Source organism: Homo sapiens, chromosome 12, assembly GCF_000001405.40.
Source record: "Homo sapiens chromosome 12, GRCh38.p14 Primary Assembly".
Lineage (NCBI taxonomy): Eukaryota > Metazoa > Chordata > Mammalia > Primates > Hominidae > Homo > Homo sapiens.
Window position 1 is genome coordinate 120,150,141 of NC_000012.12, and position 18,015 is coordinate 120,168,155.

At 50.5% G+C, this 18,015-nt stretch overlaps 1 protein-coding gene and 1 non-coding gene across 2 annotated transcripts in view, besides 1 other annotated feature; both read right to left on the bottom strand.

The window, feature by feature from the left end:
- GCN1 (GCN1 activator of EIF2AK4) overlaps nt 1-18,015 on the bottom strand; it is a 67,514-nt gene that overhangs the window by 22,939 nt on the left and 26,560 nt on the right. The window contains exons 17-34 of the mRNA NM_006836.2: nt 14,506-14,581; nt 14,196-14,355; nt 12,930-13,119; nt 12,707-12,831; nt 11,740-11,918; nt 11,350-11,443; nt 10,002-10,115; nt 9,685-9,883; nt 8,320-8,475; nt 7,709-7,890; nt 6,772-6,852; nt 6,321-6,464; nt 5,452-5,579; nt 5,101-5,290; nt 4,830-4,900; nt 3,604-3,769; nt 3,073-3,267; nt 1,005-1,251 (exon numbers count right to left, since the gene is read on the bottom strand). Coding sequence (NP_006827.1) covers nt 1,005-1,251; nt 3,073-3,267; nt 3,604-3,769; nt 4,830-4,900; nt 5,101-5,290; nt 5,452-5,579; nt 6,321-6,464; nt 6,772-6,852; nt 7,709-7,890; nt 8,320-8,475; nt 9,685-9,883; nt 10,002-10,115; nt 11,350-11,443; nt 11,740-11,918; nt 12,707-12,831; nt 12,930-13,119; nt 14,196-14,355; nt 14,506-14,581 — 2,697 coding nt within the window. The remainder of the gene's footprint in view (nt 1-1,004; nt 1,252-3,072; nt 3,268-3,603; nt 3,770-4,829; nt 4,901-5,100; nt 5,291-5,451; nt 5,580-6,320; nt 6,465-6,771; nt 6,853-7,708; nt 7,891-8,319; nt 8,476-9,684; nt 9,884-10,001; nt 10,116-11,349; nt 11,444-11,739; nt 11,919-12,706; nt 12,832-12,929; nt 13,120-14,195; nt 14,356-14,505; nt 14,582-18,015) is intronic.
- MIR4498 (microRNA 4498) lies at nt 5,294-5,359 on the bottom strand. The gene has a single exon (NR_039719.1). It is a non-coding gene; the product is annotated as a microRNA 4498 (primary transcript).
- Nucleotides 16,792-16,841: an enhancer, noted in NCBI's record as "active region_7132". NCBI's record gives its function as "activates an Ori minimal core promoter by ATAC-STARR-seq in GM12878 lymphoblastoid cells {active_cell/tissue: GM12878}" and the evidence as "EXISTENCE:reporter gene assay evidence [ECO:0000049][PMID:35858748]".

Genomic DNA, 18,015 nt, shown 5'->3' on the forward strand with positions numbered 1-18,015 from the left:
CCTCTGGAAACACTCAGAAACAGCTGTGGAACTAGTAGATGCCCCATGAGGAGGCAGCACCCTCTGCCTCAGCTCAAGAAGCCCCAGCAAAGGAATGTGGCTGAGCGAAAGGGAGGACAGCACAGGGGAGCCACCTTCACTTCTTGGCACTAACAGTTAAAAAAGCCAAACCTTGGCCGGGCGCGGTGGCTCACACCCATAATCCCAACACTTTGGGAGGCTGAGGCAGGCAGATCACGAGGTCAGGAAATAGAGACCATCTTGGCCAACATGGTGAAACCCTGTCTCTACTAAAAATACAAAAATTAGCTGGGTATGGTGGTGGGCACCTGTAACCCCAGCTACTAGGGTGGCTGAGGTAGGAGAATTGCTTGAACCCAGGAGGTGAAGATTGCAGTGAGCCGAGATTGTGCCTGGAGACAGAGTGGGACTCCATCTCAAAAAAAAAAGAAAGAAAGAAAGAAAGAAAAGCCAAACCTCTCTCAGCTAAGGGTGTTGCTGAGTTAGAAATTTGTGGCCGGGCGCGGTGGTTCATGCCTGTAATCCCAGCACTTTGGGAGGCTGAGGCGGACAGATCACGAGGTCAGGAGATCGAGACCATCCTGGCTAACACGGTGAAACCCCGCCTCTACTAAAAATACAAAAAATTAGCCGGGCGTGGTGGCGGGCGCCTGTGGTCCCAGCTACTTGGGAGGCTAAGGCAGGAGAATGGCATGAACCCAGGAGGCTGAGCTTGCAGTGAGCCAAGATCACGCCACTGCACTCTAGCCTGGGCGACAGAGCGAGACTCCGTCTCAAAAAAAAAAAACAGAAAAGAAAAAAAAATTTGCAAGTCCAAGGAAAGCAGCAAGGACGCAGCTGGACTGGGTCGCACACAGCGGGGCCCTCTGTAGTACACGCACAAGCAACGGCCTCCACCTGGGGCGCCACGGTCAGATTCCTTCCTCTGGCAACCTGGGGACCAACTTCCCATGCTGGGCAGCCCCAAGCTCAGAGATGCTCACCCTCTCGCCGGCGGAAGTTCTTCTTATCTTGGATGGCATCAGTCAGTGCCGCCATCATCTCCTGTTGCTTCAGCGAGAGGATGCCCAGGCCCTTCACCAGGCCCGCCAGGCCATAGGCGGCCCCTTTGCGCTCTGCGTACTTGTCTGACTCCAGCAGCTGCTGCATAAGCCTCTGGATCATCCCTCCAGCATCCTCCTTGATGGCTGGCACAAGGGGTGGCAAGCAGCTGGCTACGGACTCCTGGACCTGGGGAAGGGCCCACCTGTCAATGCTGTGGCTCCGCTGCAGCCGTTTCATGGTTGGTGGGGGGTCTGACCATTCTACACAGCACCCACCACTAGATGTCCCAAGCCCCATCTCAGCCACTGCCTGCGGATGTCACAGGGCACCAGAGAAGCAAACAGGTATACACAGTGTTGTATACCTCTGAGGGTGCACACTACAATCTGCTGACGACAAAAGCTTTGGCCCATATGGTGCCATTTCTGGTCTAAATGGAAAACCTAGGCCTGGGCAGTGGGGCAGGGGACCAAGGAAGGGACTCTAAAGACTAAATCCACTCAGAAAGAAAGCTTCCAGAGAAGTGTGCTGCTTTGCCTCCATAAAAACAGCCCGTGTCTCTGTTTCCAAACTTGTCAAAATCACAGAGAAATTGGGCAGGGCCTTATAGGACCAGGCACAAATTGAGTGGAACCAAAAGACACTCAATCCTGCCTCCCAGCCGCAGCTCACTAAGCCCAGCTTGGGAGCAGCAACCCCGAGGCCATGCTGGCAGGTGCCCAGGTGCGACTCTTTTGCTGCTTAGGCTTTCTGACACCATATTTGACCACAATTTTGGAAACTGGTTTTCAACTGTGCATTTTTTTGGTAAAGTTTTTTGTTGTTTTTTGTTTTTGTTTTTAGAAATAGGGTCTTACTCTGTCACCCAGGCTACAGTGCAGTGGCACAATCATAATTCACTATAACCTTGAATTCCTGGACTCAAGCAATCCTATTGCCTCGGTCTCCTGAGTAGCTAGGAACACAGGCATGGCCTCCACCTCTGGCTAATTTTTAAAGTTTTTGTAGAGACAGGATCTCACTATGTTGCCCAGGCTGGTCTCGAACTACTGGCCTTAAGCAATCCTCCCACCTCAGCCTCCTAAAGCACTGGGATTATAGGCATGAGCCACCACGCCCAGCCCAACTGTTCACTTTATGAAGACACTCTAAGTGGTCCAAAATGCAAACCACACACACACGCGCACACACACACACACACACACAAAATATATATATATAAATATATATATATTTATATATATATACATGCGTGTTTTTCAAAACAAAGAAAAAGAAATTTATTTGCACTGTAGCTTAGAGGCTACATTAAAACGCACCTGTAGCCTCCTAAAGCACTGGGATTATAGGCATGAGCCACCACGCCCAGCCCAACTGTTCACTTTATGAAGACACTCTAAGTGGTCCAAAATGCAAACCACACACACACGCGCACACACACACACACACACACAAAATATATATATATAAATATATATATATTTATATATACATACATGCGTGTTTTTCAAAACAAAGAAAAAGAAATTTATTTGCACTGTAGCTTAGAGGCTACATTAAAACGCACCTGTAACACACAACCAACACATGTAGAGGGCCAGAAAAAGGCTTGACATAAGAGAAAGCCTGACCTTTTATTTTTTTTCCCTTTGGATTCCCAGTGCACGTTAGTGAATAGAAAAAATGGAACTATCTAGGAGGTCTATTAGAACAAAGTAACAAAGAAACTCCCTCTCCAGGGGCATTCTTCACTATAAACCAGGTGAGTAGAAAAAAATGAAACTATCTGGGAGGTCTACTAGAACAAAGTAACAAAGAAACTCCCTCTCCAGGAGTGTTCCTGACTATAAACCAGGCTCTCCCCTGCGAGAGGGGGTGAATCCTTAACAAGAACTGGGCTTTCAGGGCCCTGATTGTCCAACTCCACCCCTAGTATCCCACCGCCTAACCACAGCCGGGTCCCAATTCTCTAACCGACATGTGGGTCCCAGGCCAGATGGCAGGTACCTGCTGGGAGGGGGTGGAGAGGGCAGCGATGAGCTTGGCAACAATGGGCTTCACTTTGGGGTCACTCTTGTCCAGGTGCTTGGCCAGAGAGCCCATCAGGACCACCACACTCTGTCGCACAGCATCATAGCTGGCATCATTGGGCGCGTTCTTCAGGAACTCCTCGAATACTGGCAACAGCGAGTTGACGTTCTCCTGGAAAGCCAAACCCCTCAGAGCCTCAGGTCAACCCTACAGGCTGCATCTGGGGACAACAGTCCCTGCCCTGAGGACCAAGACCAAGTCTAGCTCTGGGACAGGCATCCTGACATGCCAGCCAGTGGCTCTTCCAGTTTTCTGGCAGGACTGCCACAGACTTAAAAGAATTTAACACACTATCATGGTCTTTTTGGCTCAAAGTGCTCTGCCAGGACTCTTGGCACTCAGCATTTCTGGCCCCTGCTCAGCCCTAGCGCCTGCCTCCCGTGTCTCCTTAGCGGGCTGGGACCCCCTTACCTTCCCGTGGGTGTTCCCTGGCTGGGACCCCCTTACCTTCCCATGAGTGTTGAGCGTTGCGAGGGCTGCATCCAACATGCACTTCCGGACATCTGGGTGTCGGTCATTGAGGGCATCAGGGACAAAAAACTGAAAGAGTGGCTTCACCTGAGAGCTGTCCAAATACTGGGAGAGCTTGTTGAGGGCCAACGCCAAGCCACACCTGGGAAAGAAGTGGGAGCACATCAGGAGGGGCAGTCAGGGGGCCTCCTCTGCCAGTGGAACCTCTGCTGGTGCACGGCAAGGAGAGGGAGCTTGCCTGAGGCAAACACTGTTTTGGGGGCAGAGAACAGCCTGAAGCCCACCACCCAGTGCTCACCCAATGTTCTGGAACAACCCACTTGTCATATGGAGACTTGCCATCTGCCCTGATTTTACCTCCTACTGGGTGACCAGCCCTGTGTTGGTTTCCCCAGAGAGGAATGTGAGTGCAATGCTCACCCCTCTACCTGCAAAGCAGGTTGTAAGAGAACACAGAGGTAAAAGAACCAGATGTAGAGGCCTGTGGAAGTGAACACATTCTCCAAGGGCAAAGTGTTGTTACTCTTTCCAGTCATGGAGCAAAGAATCTGTGTCCTATCCCTGGCTGATGGTCTGGAATGAAAAATAAGCCAGGATGGGCCCATACACCACCCTACACTGACACACAAGGCCTCACGGGAGTGGACACGGCCAGGATGAGCCATTCAGAGAACTAACACCCTTGCGTGTTTTGAGCCTGCTCTGTGGGAGGCAAGTGTCTTTCAATGTCCCAGTTGCTCCCAGACATCTGTCTAATCCTCCAACTGCTACTCATGGGCTCTGTGGAGAAAGGCTGGTAGCTTCTGTTATTGTGCCCTGCATATAGATGAGGAAACAGAGGCCTGGGGAAAAGGAGAAACACGCTCACGGTCACGCAGCTAGTGCAGGAGAGGACACTCTAAGGAACTTACTTAGAGTTCATTTTAATTGATTTAACTTTAGCCACATGCGGTTAGTGGCTACATCTTGGACAGTACAGCCTAGAGAGAGGTGAGGAGGCAGGTCAGAGGCTCTTCTGAAAGATGGTGCCTCACACGGTCCAATCCCACCCCTTCCAGGGGCTGATGGAACTCAGGCCTCCCCGACTCTGAGGGAGGTCCTGCTCTTTCATTAACCCATGCTGCCTCCTCACAGCACCCACCCAGCCAACCTGCCACATCTCACAAAGCTTGGAGTAGAACGAGGCTGAACAATTGTTATACCTGGCTTCCCACTGATCTGGAGGAGATTCTGAAATAACTCGTCCCAAAGCATCCAGCACTGGGGGCGGCCGCTGCAACAGACAAGTTGGTAAATGCTTTGCAACGGGCAGATCAATGACCTGGGCACCAGGATTGTGAGGCAGGAAACTAGCCGCAGCTACCCTGAGCCACCGTGAGCCCCGAGATTCCTGTCTGGAGCAGTAGCGGGGTGAGCAGAGACCCACCCAACCGCACACACCCAGACTGCATCAGGGCTGCACAGGTCACTCACGTAGAGCTTTTCCTGGTAAATCTCCATGAGCCTGCCCATAACCTCCGCCGCCTGCCGCTGGTAACGTGCCACTGCTTGGGAGAGGGCTTCGGCCCCTGCCTGCCTTACAGCCGCCTCATGATAGATCACGTCGTCAATCAGCAAGGAGCAGAGGTCTGGCTGCAGGTCTAGGCCCATCATTGACCAGAGCCTGTGGGAGATCCAAGGCAGGGGCTGCTTAGACAAAGATCTGCAGCACTTGCCCTGCCAGCCCAGCCCTTCTTCCCACTGGAGGCTGAGCACACTGGGTTCAGTTATTTCCTAAAGGAAGAGAGGATGCAGCAGGAGAAAGCGACATGCTGGCTCTCTCACCTCTCAGCCAGCTTCCGGATCTCCTCCTCCTTGTCAAACTTGACCACCCAGAGTCTCCGCAGAAGGTTCAGGCCATTCTTCTCATCAGTATCAGGTGCTGGCAATACCATGTGGAGTTCCATCAGCCCCTGGAAGGGGTGGGATTGGACCGTGTGAGGCATCATCTTTCAGAAGAGCCTCTGACCTGCCTCCTCACCTCTCTCTAGGTTGTACTGTCCAAGATGTAGCCACTAACCGCATGTGGCTAAAGTTAAATCAATTAAAATTAACTCTAAGTAAGTTCCTTAGAGTGTGAGGTGGTAAAATGTTTTTTTAATGTGAAAATTAAAACGTTAAATAAACCAGACAGATAAAAACCTCAGAAAAAGCGTATTCCTTTTGTTCAAAAAAATTTTAAGGAAAAATTTACTATATTGTCATCATTTTCACATTTTACCAAAAGCCAGTGAAAACTCTGTCACATATCAATAGCAGGAGGCTGTGGATCAGCAGGTAGGAACCACTGTCTTACCACTACAAGGGGATGCTTCAGTTTTTGGTCCAAAAGCCATGAAGAAAAACCAAGTACATGGCAGTGGGCTAAAGAATTGAACTCCTCCTGCAAGTTAGCTCTGTCCGTGGAAGTACCAAGGTCCACATTCCAGTTTAAAAATTAAGTGAAGTGTTCCAAGGTAAAGGAAAAAATACAGTGATACATCATGACTGCTTAGTGTTCTGATTCTCAGAGAGACCCCAACCATGTGACTTCTTCTCTTTGCCTCTAGGCCTCCCACCAGAGTGAGGGACATTCTCTCAAATGCCCATCATGCAATTTGCACTTGCATAGAGTGACAAGGGACACTGCAGTGGCTCTGAGACTGAGCACACACCCGGAGCACGGTTTCCCGCACGCTGGCACACGGGGACTGCAAGGCACAGAGCAGCACGTCCACCTCCTCCTGCTCTGCAAAGGCACAGCCATCATCACCACTGCTGCTGGCACACAGGGTGGTCAGGGTGTCTGAAGCCAGAACCTAAGGAGAACATCAATCCACTGGTTCAGTCAGCAACTCATTTACTACTAGGGGGCCAGAGAGGGATATGCACTGAGAACACCCACCCCTACAGCACTGCAAGGGCTAAGACCCCAGCTCCAGTGGCAGGACCCAAGCAAAACCCCTCACTAGCTAACAACAGTCAGGCTGGCTCTCTAAAGCAGTCTTTCTACCAAAGTCCAAAAGTAAGGGCTGAAAGGAAACTAGGACTCCACCCTTTACACTGGGACTTGAGGTCTGGGTCACGAACTGAGTCACAGCAACAGCCAACTGAAAACCACATCACCTGTAAGCGAGGCGAGCCCGTCCCGATCACCCAAGTCAGAAGACGCAGCATGGCCACGCGAGGCAGCAACTCCGGGCCATTCTAGGAGAGAACGGCAGGTAAGTCGAGATGAGGCTGTGGGGAGGTCTGTAACCCAGGCGGCCAACGGCAGGGCATCCTCTCACCCACGGGGGAACATTCTGGATCATACAACCGGCCCCACCACAGAAACCTCATTAAGTTTACAACTAGGTCCACAGGTGCTAACCCCAGTCAACCATGATCCTCAGGAACTAAAAACTAAATTCTGAAACTTGCTTGAAATTCACACTATGAAATCCAGAAAGACCGTAAATATATGAAGAGACACTCAACTTTAAATGAAATGCAAAATAAAATGAGATTATCATTCTTTCACTCATCACTGACGATATTAATACTATCTGAGGTTGCATTAAGGCTTTGAGAAAAGAAAACTCTTGGTGAGAGTATAGCTCAGAATATGCCATATAATCTAGTAATTCCATGTCCAATGAACCTGTCCTAAAGAAATGCTCACACTGGTTAAGTAAGGGGCATATACATACAAGAGGGCACATCACAGTGCTGTTCAAAACAGGAAAAAGTTAGAAACAACCTTAAGAACTCATCAACAGGTAAAGAGTTAAGTAAAACATGGTACATCCATAGCACAGAATCTCATGCAGCCAACAAAGTCAATCAGGTGAACTGACATGTACTGGCATGGCAGGAGAGCCAGAGTCTACAATCACATGAAAGAAGCAGTCTGACCCGTTTTTGCCTTAAAAAACCCACAACACTGTGTGAGGCTGCTGTTGGTATAAACATACACTCTCTATTTCCCCACCAGGAACTGTTCATGAGACAAAACGTGTCCACAGGCCCTGCCTCCCTGATCCCCTTTAAACCAAGAGGAGAGCAGAGCTTCCCTGCCAACCTCGTCCACCCGCCCGGGTGGGGTGTTGGGGGAGGCCCTCAGCTGGGCTTGGACAGTGAGGATCTGAAGAATCTGGGCCATCCACTCCTCCTCCTCCTCACTGTGGTGGGGCATCTCCGTCAGCACCATCTTCAGAAACGGGAAGACTAAGGAGAAGGCTGGCGCGGACAAGGGCGCAGCACCTGTGAGAGCGAGAAGCAGATAAGATTCTGCAGGCAGGGCAGGGACCCGGGCCACTGCTGCCTATTTCTATCCTCAGGGAAAGTAGGGAACGGATGGACCAGAGGCCCGTTCTGACACCTGGAAGCACATGGCACGAGGACAGAGACAGCAGCTGGTAGTCCAGTTCTAAAACCAATTCTGCTTCTACTGCCAAACACTGCCCAGTTCCAGGATGTGAGAGTTAAAACAGAGATGGGGACACCAGTGACAAAAAGTAAACCCTCAACTGGGCTCACTGCAATTCACAGACTACGAAGGTTCAATTCAGAAATCCTCCATATGGTCCAATCCCCCAGGCTCAGGAGGCCCTGGGTGACGCTGTGCCTTGAGCAGCATTCCTGGCACCAGCTCACACCGCCTGGTGCCCCTGATCCCGTCCCAGCCCTTACCTGGCTCCCCCTTGCCCACCCTGCTGGTGATGGTGTGGGTGTGCAGCAGCATCACCGCCCTCTTCACAGCCACCGACAGCTCTTCCTGGCACCAGGACTTATCCAGGACACACTCTGGCTTCAGCAGGCGCAGGGTCACGTGGCTCACCAAAGTGCCTGTGTTGAAGAGGAGAGACCCAGCAGGAGATGACACACAGAGATGTGGAATCCAGCCCAGGCTAAAACAGGGGACCCAGTGCCTCATCCTTCTGACTTAAAAAAATATTTCTGCGGCTGGGCGCGGTGGCTGATGCCTGTAATCCCAGCACTTTGGGAGGCCGAGGCGGGCGGATCATGAGGTCAGGAGATTGAGACCATCCTGGCTAACACGGTGAAACCCCATCTCTACTAAAAATACAAAAAATTAGCTGGGCGTGGTGACGGGCGCCTGTAGTCCCAGCTACTCAGGAGGCTCAAGAAGGAGAATGGCATGAACCCGGGAAGCGGAGCTGGCAGTGAGCCAAGATGGCGCCACTGCACTCCAGCCTGGGTGACAGAGTAAGACTCCGTCTCAAAAAAAAAAAAAAAAATCTTTCTGCTTCGCCAAAATGTCCCCAGCCTAATTTCTCACTTGATCTTTGTGACAGCCTCAGAGGGCAGGTAGGCAGAGAGTTGCCCTTTGGACATTTAAGAAATGAGTACGCTGACAGGAGACAAGGGCCACCAAAGAGTCATTCAGCCAAGAGTACAGCTCTATCTGTGCAGCATCTCCACCTCTACGCAACAAGCCCAGACAGCCAGGTGACACTTCTGGCAGGTTTCATATGCACCAGCTGACTTTTCCACTCAGAACAGTTCCCAGATTCTAGCCTCACCCGTGGGAACATCACCGTTAGGCCAGGATAGAAGTCTGCTGAAGGCCACTAAACAACCCACAGAAGCAAGGCCACCAGAACTGCCAGCCACCCTACCTGGTGTTTGTTTCTCCAGAGCTAAGAGGAAGCTAAAGGTCTCAAGGGCCTCTGCTCACTGCTGTCATGTGGCTGTTCAGGAGATCTGGGCTGGGCTGAGCCACCAAACCATCCTCACTGCCACTGAACTTCTGACTTCTTAGTTTTAAAACTGGTATACAAAGATCGAACACTGACTAGCATCTAAAACCTACTCCTCAGAGGGAGGGCACAGATGTGAAGTGGGAGAGAAGAGGAGGCACTACGTCTCTCCTAAGCATATCCAGCTTGAGTCTCCAAGGCTGCTTCCACAAGAAAACAAAACTCAGCAGCTGAGGTCACCACCCACCTCCCCACAAGCACTCAGGGGCACACCCTGTCCAAGCACTCAGGGGCACCCCTGGGCCATCCCTGCAGCCAGCAAACAAGGACTAACCCAAAGCCTTGAGCCTAGAGGGCATGACACAGGCAGCCAAGGACAAGAAGGGGTTCTTGATCCTGGGAGCAGCCAGGGGAGACTTCAGCAAGGGCAGAAAAGAGTCGACCAAAACAGGGATGTACTGGGTCAGGCCGGACGGGTTCTTGGCCAGGATGATGTCCAGCAGTCCAAGCGCCGCCTCCAGCTCCCCATCCAGCTGCAAGCAGAGTTGTCCAGAAGGCAGGTCAGCAGGGCCCTGCTTGTGACAGCAAGCAGCAGGACCAAGCTGCCCAGCACTCTTCCGGCTTGAGCATGTGGCGGAGGTGGCCACTCACCTCCTGCAGCCGCCTCCGGACCTGCGCCTCCCTGTCTAGCTGGGCCTGCAGCATCTCCTTCTGCTTGCTGGTCAGCTGCACCTCCTCTTTGATGCCTTTCTTCTTCTTTATCTCCTAAAGAGGATGGGCAAACCAACCAATCCCATCTCCAGGGAACAGACCTCCCTCCCCAACAGAGGAAGGTGAGCTTGCTTCCACACAAACAGCACCATACCAGCTCTAAGTGTGAGTTGGGCCCCTGAACCCACCATGTGCACCCCCAACCTCCCACAAAGTCCACAGCCACCTGGTTTCTATAGAATGGAGACAGCAATAGAGAAGTAGTTGTTTTACTGGATTCTCTACTGACAAAGGCTAAGAGGGCTTTTTATGTTAGAGAAATAAAGGTTCCTCAATGTACTCAAAAGGGTATTCTGACAGCCAAATGGATTCAGAATCAAAACTTTAGCCTCCTCCTCTCCAACCCCTTCCTACATAAGCTCTCCCACAGGATAAGCTGAAGCTTAGAAAAGGCCTGCTATAGTGGCCTGAGACAACAAGCCACAGAACTCACTCACTCATTCAGCAAACATTTAGTGAGCACCTGGATTGTGCCAGGCACTGTTCCAGATGGCAGGAATATCGTAGGAACAAGATAAAGTCCCTGCCCTCACGGAGCTCACAATCTAGCAGGCGAAGATAGATAATAAACAAGTCAACAAGCACATAAACAAGATGCTTTTGGGTTATGATAAATGTTAGTAAAGAAACAAATATGATGTTTAGTAAAAGGGAGGAAGGGTGGGGTCTACTTTGGATAGGGTGGACAAGCTGGCCACCTCTCTGAGAAGCACACATGTGGACTGAGATGAGAAAGACAAGAAGAATCCTGCCTTGTAAAGACAGAGAGAAGAGCAAACGCTGAGAAGGAAAGAGTCCTGTGTGCTCTGCTCCTGTCAGAACCTGCTCTGCCCAAAGCTGAATTCAGCAATCAAGTCATGATTCCCCAGAAGTCCCACTGTACCAGGCGCTGTGCCTGCTATCAGGAGTCTAGATGGGTCCCAGTCTTCAAGGAAGTGGAGGGACAGACATGGAATCCAGCAACACCACTTAGCAGAGGAGACACGTGCACTGTCGCCAGCACCCAGCAGAGAAAGAAACCGGTTTTGAGTTGTGGGTGGAAGAAGCTATGAAGCAAGGGTGAAGGGAAAGTGTGCCAGTGCACCAGACACTGGTCAGGGGCATCAGAGGAGTGTGCCATGGGCCTCAGGATGTTCCAAGTGAACAGCATATGTGCAGTGGGAAAAGCCACCAGCTTGAGGCCACCAAGCTCAGCAGCCACCTTCCGTAAGTGCCTCCGTGTACTCACCTCCTTCAGCTCCAGCTCGATGATCTGCTCTTTGAAGGAATAAGCTTTGTTCTCTCGCTTCATGTTGGCCTTTTTTATGCTGTCCTGCTGGGCACTGAAACACCAGAGTGGGTCATCAGCCAGCTTGAAAAGCACCGCAAGTCCTGTCAGCCTCCCGCCAGCCATGCAATTCCAACTAGCTGTTAAGCACTGTGCACCAGCACAGTGCCGGATACTGGACACACTTAAATACCCAGGACCTAAGCACCGTGCCGGGGACACAACAGGCGCTTAGCCAATGAATGGATAGGCTGTTGCATTCAACTCACAGGAGGCACTGGCTCCATTCTACACACAAGAAAACTATGCCTTGGGGAGCAAAGGAAACTGAGCCCATAAGTGAGGTCTCACCTCTGAATGATGGATTTGTCATACAGCTCCCCAGCAGGGGTCTGCATAATGGCAAACTCCTCCCGCGTCACCAGGCGCAGTGCAGGGTTCTGCACGGAGGCAGTGATGGTGCTGATGAGCTGTGGGAGGACCCGGTCCGGCGACAGGACGGAAAGGGAGCCCATGGCATTCATGGAGGACTGCCAGACAAACGCAGACATGGTCAGTGTGTGCCAAGGCTGGCACTGGCAAGAGGTCCACCACACCTGAATGCCCCTAGCACTGGCTCCCCTTCTTTATGCCACTGCCTTGTTACTCCTGGGCAATGCCCATCACAGTGGCCGGCTGGAGTCTGCGTCTGCTTTCCTCACCAAGCAGTGCTCCTCTGTCTGACACAGCACCTGACGTGAGGTGATACACTCCTTCCCAATTCTCAATCTCCGTGGTTCAGGTGGAGCTGCCCTCACTTTTTCCAGAGGTAGGCATGTGACCCAGAACAGAAGGATGGGTGCAGAGATGAGCATGGCACCCAAGTCAGATTAATCAGGGTCAAAGCGACCCCAAGCCAGTAGACATTATTGAAATATGCAAGCTATTCCCCTAGGAGCTGATGGCAAGACAAAGCCTGGAACTCTAGCAGCTCTTGTGCTACCAGAAAGGGAAAGCCTGAGAATGGAGCCCACATCGTGGAAAACAGAGACAACAGACAAAGATGGATGGGACAGAGTAAGAGAGACATCACCTACAATGTTCCAAGGGCAACATGTGAACCCCTGTAGCCAGTCATATCCTTGGACTTTGCAGGTAAATGAGGCAGTAAGTTCCCTTTTGTGCTTAAACCAGTTTACATTTCTGTCACGTGCAACCAAGGGTCCAAGCCTACATTTCATCCATCTTCACCTGCTTCTTTGAATCCTCTCTTCCTGTACACTGTGATGAGAGGGCCCCCTCCCGGACCTGAGGCCAGACCAGCTCATGTGCCCGTCACCTGGTTTAGGGGACTCTGTGTGGTCATCCTGGGAATGATCTGATCCAGGTGCCTGGTGATAAAGGCTTCAGGATCGATCTTCATCCTGGCAAGAAGTGCTGGCCAAAGTCCAGACTGCACGGCAACTGAAGGGGAAGGGAGCTCTTTGAGGCCTTCTGCCTGGCCTGCTCTTACCCCATCCCCTAAAGCTCTGGGCTCTCCCACACCCACCGCAGCCACGGACCTAAGGATGGGTGGTGGGAGATGATCAGCATTTCCTGGGCCAGTTGTTCAGTGTCGGTGACATCACCCTTGAGCCCTGGCACACCGGAGATGACACACAGAGCCTCCTGCAGGACCCGTGGAGGCACGTAGGCCTTGCCTGCCTCAGTCACCTCTCCAGCATCAGTCACCAAAGCCTCTAAGGGCAGCACCTGTGTGGAGACACATGAGATAATACTGCTAAGAGCCCTGTGCAGGCTTGGAACACAGGAACCAAATATGCTACGGACACAGCGGCCCCTCACTCAGTTCTTCCCTGGGGTCCTTGCTGGAGTAGAAATGGATGCCCAGCTTCCTGCAATGGGACCCACAGGCTGTGAGATGTGCCTGGAAGAAGGAAGCACCTGTGGCTTTGCATCTAAAAAGCCTGCAGGGGTAAAGAAGGCACCAGGAACTGGTCCAGGAGACCCAGCCTGTGGTGGCAAGTCTGTCACTGGCCCACATTCCTCAACAGGCTTTGGGAGGGAGGGAAGCAGTGGAACACGGCACAAAGAGCACAGAAATAACAGCCAGGTCTTTGAGGGTCTCCCTCCGTCGGGGGAGACCCTGTGCAAGTCATTTGAACTCCTAGAACCCTGGTCAATTCATATGACACAAGAATAACAAGCCCTATTTGCCTTTGAAACGCATTGTTAAAAAAAAAATCAAAAGGAAAAAATGGGTAGAAAATGCTTTAAAAAGTACAAAGTGCTTTAAAAACATAAAGTGTTATTCAATTAATCAAGGATAAAGGGGGAGGGCACGGTGGCTCGTGCCTGTAATCCCAACACTTTGGGAAGCCGAGGTAGGAGGATCACTTCAGCCTAGAAGTTCGAGATCAGCCTGGGCGACATGGCGAGACCCCATCTCTACAAAAAATCAAAAATCAAAAAATTAGCGGCCACTGCAGGTGGTGTGCACCTATAGTCCCAGCAACTTGGGAGGCTGAGGTGGAAGGATCGCTCAAGCTTGGGAAGTAGAGGTTGCAGTGAGCAAAACAAAACAAAACAAAACAAAAACCCCAAAAACCCTGGAAAAAAGGTTAAGCTACATGTGAAAAAAAGTCTCTGAAAAGGAAAAGGAATCCTATGAAAGATGTTACTGGAGCTTGACGGCAGAGCAGAAGATGCTGGCATCACACAGATTAAGAAAGAACACCCAGGGAGTGGCCCAGCCAAAACCCCACATCGTAAGCAGGGGCAGCTAAGTGGATCCAAGAGCCCCAGTTCTAGAGCCCAGATGCCCTCACCTTGTGAGAACTGAGGACAGTCTTCAGCTCCTCCAAGAGTCCGTGCGCCAGCTTAAAGCCCCCAAGAGAGGACAGCAGCTTCCGAACTGTCTGCTGAGCCTGCCTGCGGACGTGCCAGGTGCGGCTCAGGAGCACCGCCACCAGAGCCCGGTGGTACTGCCTGCAAGCACAGGGACAGACAGGTCTGGGGGAAGGCCAAGAGCAGGGCTTTCCACAGCCAACCCTTCCACCTGCCACACACCCTTTCTCGGGTTCCTGCCAGCCTTTGCCTCATTTGGCCCAAAAGAAAAGGTAAGCCAGCCTCACGTACTGAACTTTGTTGCCAGTGAGTCTATGCGGGTGGTCAAGGAAAAGTCTCTCTGTCAGATGCAACACAGTACACAGGGCTTGGAGGGAAGAAAAGGAATGGAAGTGTTTTTAAAATAGTTAAGTGTACACATACATACCAATACCCAGAAATAACTGGAATGAACTGAAAATTAACACCAAAATATAAATGTGATTATCACTCGAAGTGAAATTACAGCTTGTTTTTTTTTTTTTGCTTATGCACACATGTATTTTGGAATCAGTAAAGTATATACTATTTTTATTTATTTTATATATAATATACACACATATACACATATATACACATATATATACATATACATATATACACATATATACACACACACACACACACACACACACACACACACATATATATATATATATTTTTTTTTTTGAGAGACAGTCACGCTCTGTCGCCCAGGCTGGAGTGCAGTGGCACGATCTCAGGGCTTACTGCAAGCTCCGCCTCCCAGGTTCACACCATTCTCCTGCCTCGGCCTCTCGAGTAGCTGGGACGACAGGCACCCGCTAATTTTTTTATATTTTTTAGTAGAGACTGGGTTTCACCATGTTAGCCAGGATGGTCTCGATCTCCTGGCCTCGTGATCCACCTGCCTCAGCCTCCCTAAGTGTTGGGATTACAGGCGTGAGCCACTGCACCAGGCCAAATTTTGTATTTTTAGTAGAGACGGGGTTTCACCAGGTTGGCCAGGTTGGACTTGAACTCCTGACCACAGGTGATCCACCTGCCTCGGTCTCCCAAAGTGCTAGGATTACAGGCGTGAGCCACCGCACCTAGCCTATTTTTACTTTTTTTGAGACAGAGTCTCGCTATGTTGCCCAGGCTACAGTGCAGTGGTGCAGTCTTGGCTCACTACACCCTCCGCCTCCCAGGTTCAACTAATTCTCCTGCCTCAGCCTCCTGAGTAGCTGGGATTACAGAAGCCCACCAGCAAGCCTGGCTAATTTTTTTTTTTCTATTTTTAGTAGAGACGAGGTTTCACCATGTTGGCCAGGATAATTCTGAACTCCTGACCTCAAGTGATCAGTCCACTTCAGCCTCTCAAGGTGCTAGGATTACAGGCATGAGCCACCATGCCAGGCCTATGTATTTTGTTTTCGTTGTTGTTGTTGTTGTTTTGAGACGGAGTCTTGCTCTGTCACCCAGGCTGGAATACAATGGTGCAATCTCGGCTTACTGCAACCTCCGCCTCTTGGGTTCAAGAGATTCTCCTGCCTCAGCCTCCCGAGTAGCTGGGATTACAGGCACCTGCTACCACGCCCAGCTTATTTTTGTATTTTTATTAGAGACAGGGTTTCACCATGTTGGCCAGGATAGTCTCGATCTCGACCTCATGATCTGCCCGCCTCGGCCTCCCAAAGTGCTGGGATTACAGGCGTGAGCCACCGTGTCCGGCCCCAGCCTATTTTTTTTTAATAATTAAAAATTACGGCCAGGCACAGTGGCTCACGCCTGTAATCCCAGCACTCTGGGAGGCCAAAGCAGGCAGGTCACCTGAAGTCAGGAGTTCGAGACCAGCCTGGCCAACATAGTAAAACCCCGTCTGTACTAAAAATACAAAAATTAGCCAGGTGTGGTGGTGTGCACCTGTAGTCCCAGCTACTCAAAGAGGCTGAGGCAGGAGAATTGCTTGAACCCGGGAGGTGGAGGTTGCAATGAGCAGAGATTGCACCACTGCACTCCAGCCTGGGCAACAGAGTGAGACTGTCTCAAAAAAAAAAAAAAAAAAAAATGCCTGATCCGGTGGCTCACGCATGTAATCCCAGCACTTTGGGAGGCCAAGGTGGGCGGATCATGAGGTCAGGAGACCAAGACCAGCCTGGCTAACACTGTGAAACCCCATCTCTTCTAAAAATACAAAAAATTAGCCAGGCGTGGCGGCATGCACCTGTAGTCCCAGCTACTCAGGAGGCTGAGGCAGGAGAATGGCGTGAACCCGGGAGGCGGAGCTTGCAGTGAGCTGAGATCGCGCCACTGCACTCCAGCCTGGGCGACAGAGCGAGACTCTGTCTCAAAAAAAAAAAAAAAAAATTACTAAGGCCAGGCACGATGGCTCATGTCTGTAACACCAACACTTTTGGAGGCTGAGGCAGGAGAATTGCTTAAGCCCAGGAGTTCAAGGTCAGCCTGGGCAACATGGTGAAACCCCCGTCTCTTAAAAAAAAATACAAAAATTAGCCAGATGTGGTGGTGTGCACCTGTAGTCCCAGCTACTCAGGAAGCTGAGGTGGGAGGACCACCTGAGACCAGGGAGGTCGAGGCTGCAGTGAGCCATGACTGTGTCACTGCACTCCAGCCTGGGCAACAGAGTGAGATCCTGTCTCAACAACAACAACAACAACAAATTACTATGGAGTTATAAAAAGAGGCCGGGCATGGTGGCTCATGCCTGTAATCCCAGCACTTTGGGAGGCCGAGGCAGGTGGATCACCTGAGGTCGGGAGTTCGAGACCAGCCTGACCAACATGGAGAAACCCCATCTCTACTAAGAAAAAAAAAAACAAAAACAAAATTAGCCTGGTGGTAGTGGCACATGCCTGTAATCCCAGCTACTCAGGAGGCTGAGGCAAGAGAACCGCTTGAACCCAGGGGGAGAGGTTGCGGTGGGCTGAGATCATGCCACTGCACTCCAGCCTGAGCAATAAGAACGAAACTCCATCTCAAAAAAAAAAAAAAAAAAAAGAATGATGAAGTTCATTATATACTGATATGGACTCATTTCCAGGTCTAGAAAGCACAGTACATACGGCAGGCACACTACCATTTGTGTAAAAAAGGTACAGAACAAACATATACAGGTATTTACTTGCATATATATAAAATATCAAGGCTACAGAAGAAGCTAATAAAATTGGTTATCTATAGCCGAGGAACTGGGTAGCCAGAGATCAAAGCAGGGGTATAATTTTCAATGTAGACCCTCTTGTATCTATTTTTGAATTACATTAGTCTATTTCCTTTTCAAAATTTAGCTAAAAATTTTTCTAAAACCAGGAAATGACTAACAGTTGTAGCTCATTAATGGGATGTTGCGATTTATGAGTCAAACGACTCTTCAAATCACCAATTAGTGGCAGACACTCCTAAGGCAACGTAGAATATTAAACACATATTTAAAATTCAACTGTTCCTTTTCTGCCAGGATAGAAACCAGTAGTTTTTGTGTCTCTTGGTGGGGGAGTAGAGCCTGCCAGACTCCACAAGAGCTTCTCAGCTGCCTTAACACAAGAAAACCTCCGAGACAGCACCAATTACCCAATCAGCTATAATTACAGCTCATGTCGTAGCTCCACAGCCATTACTGCTCTGTCTCCACACATCTCCCAAGTCCCATTTCCCTAACCTTATGTTCCCTACAGGAATGAATTTATTCCCACAACAGCTAAGCTGTTGGCCAGATCACTCTGGCCCAGGTTTTTGCAGACCTGACTGGTTGGTCAAGAAAGGGTCCTCTCTGAAGATTTT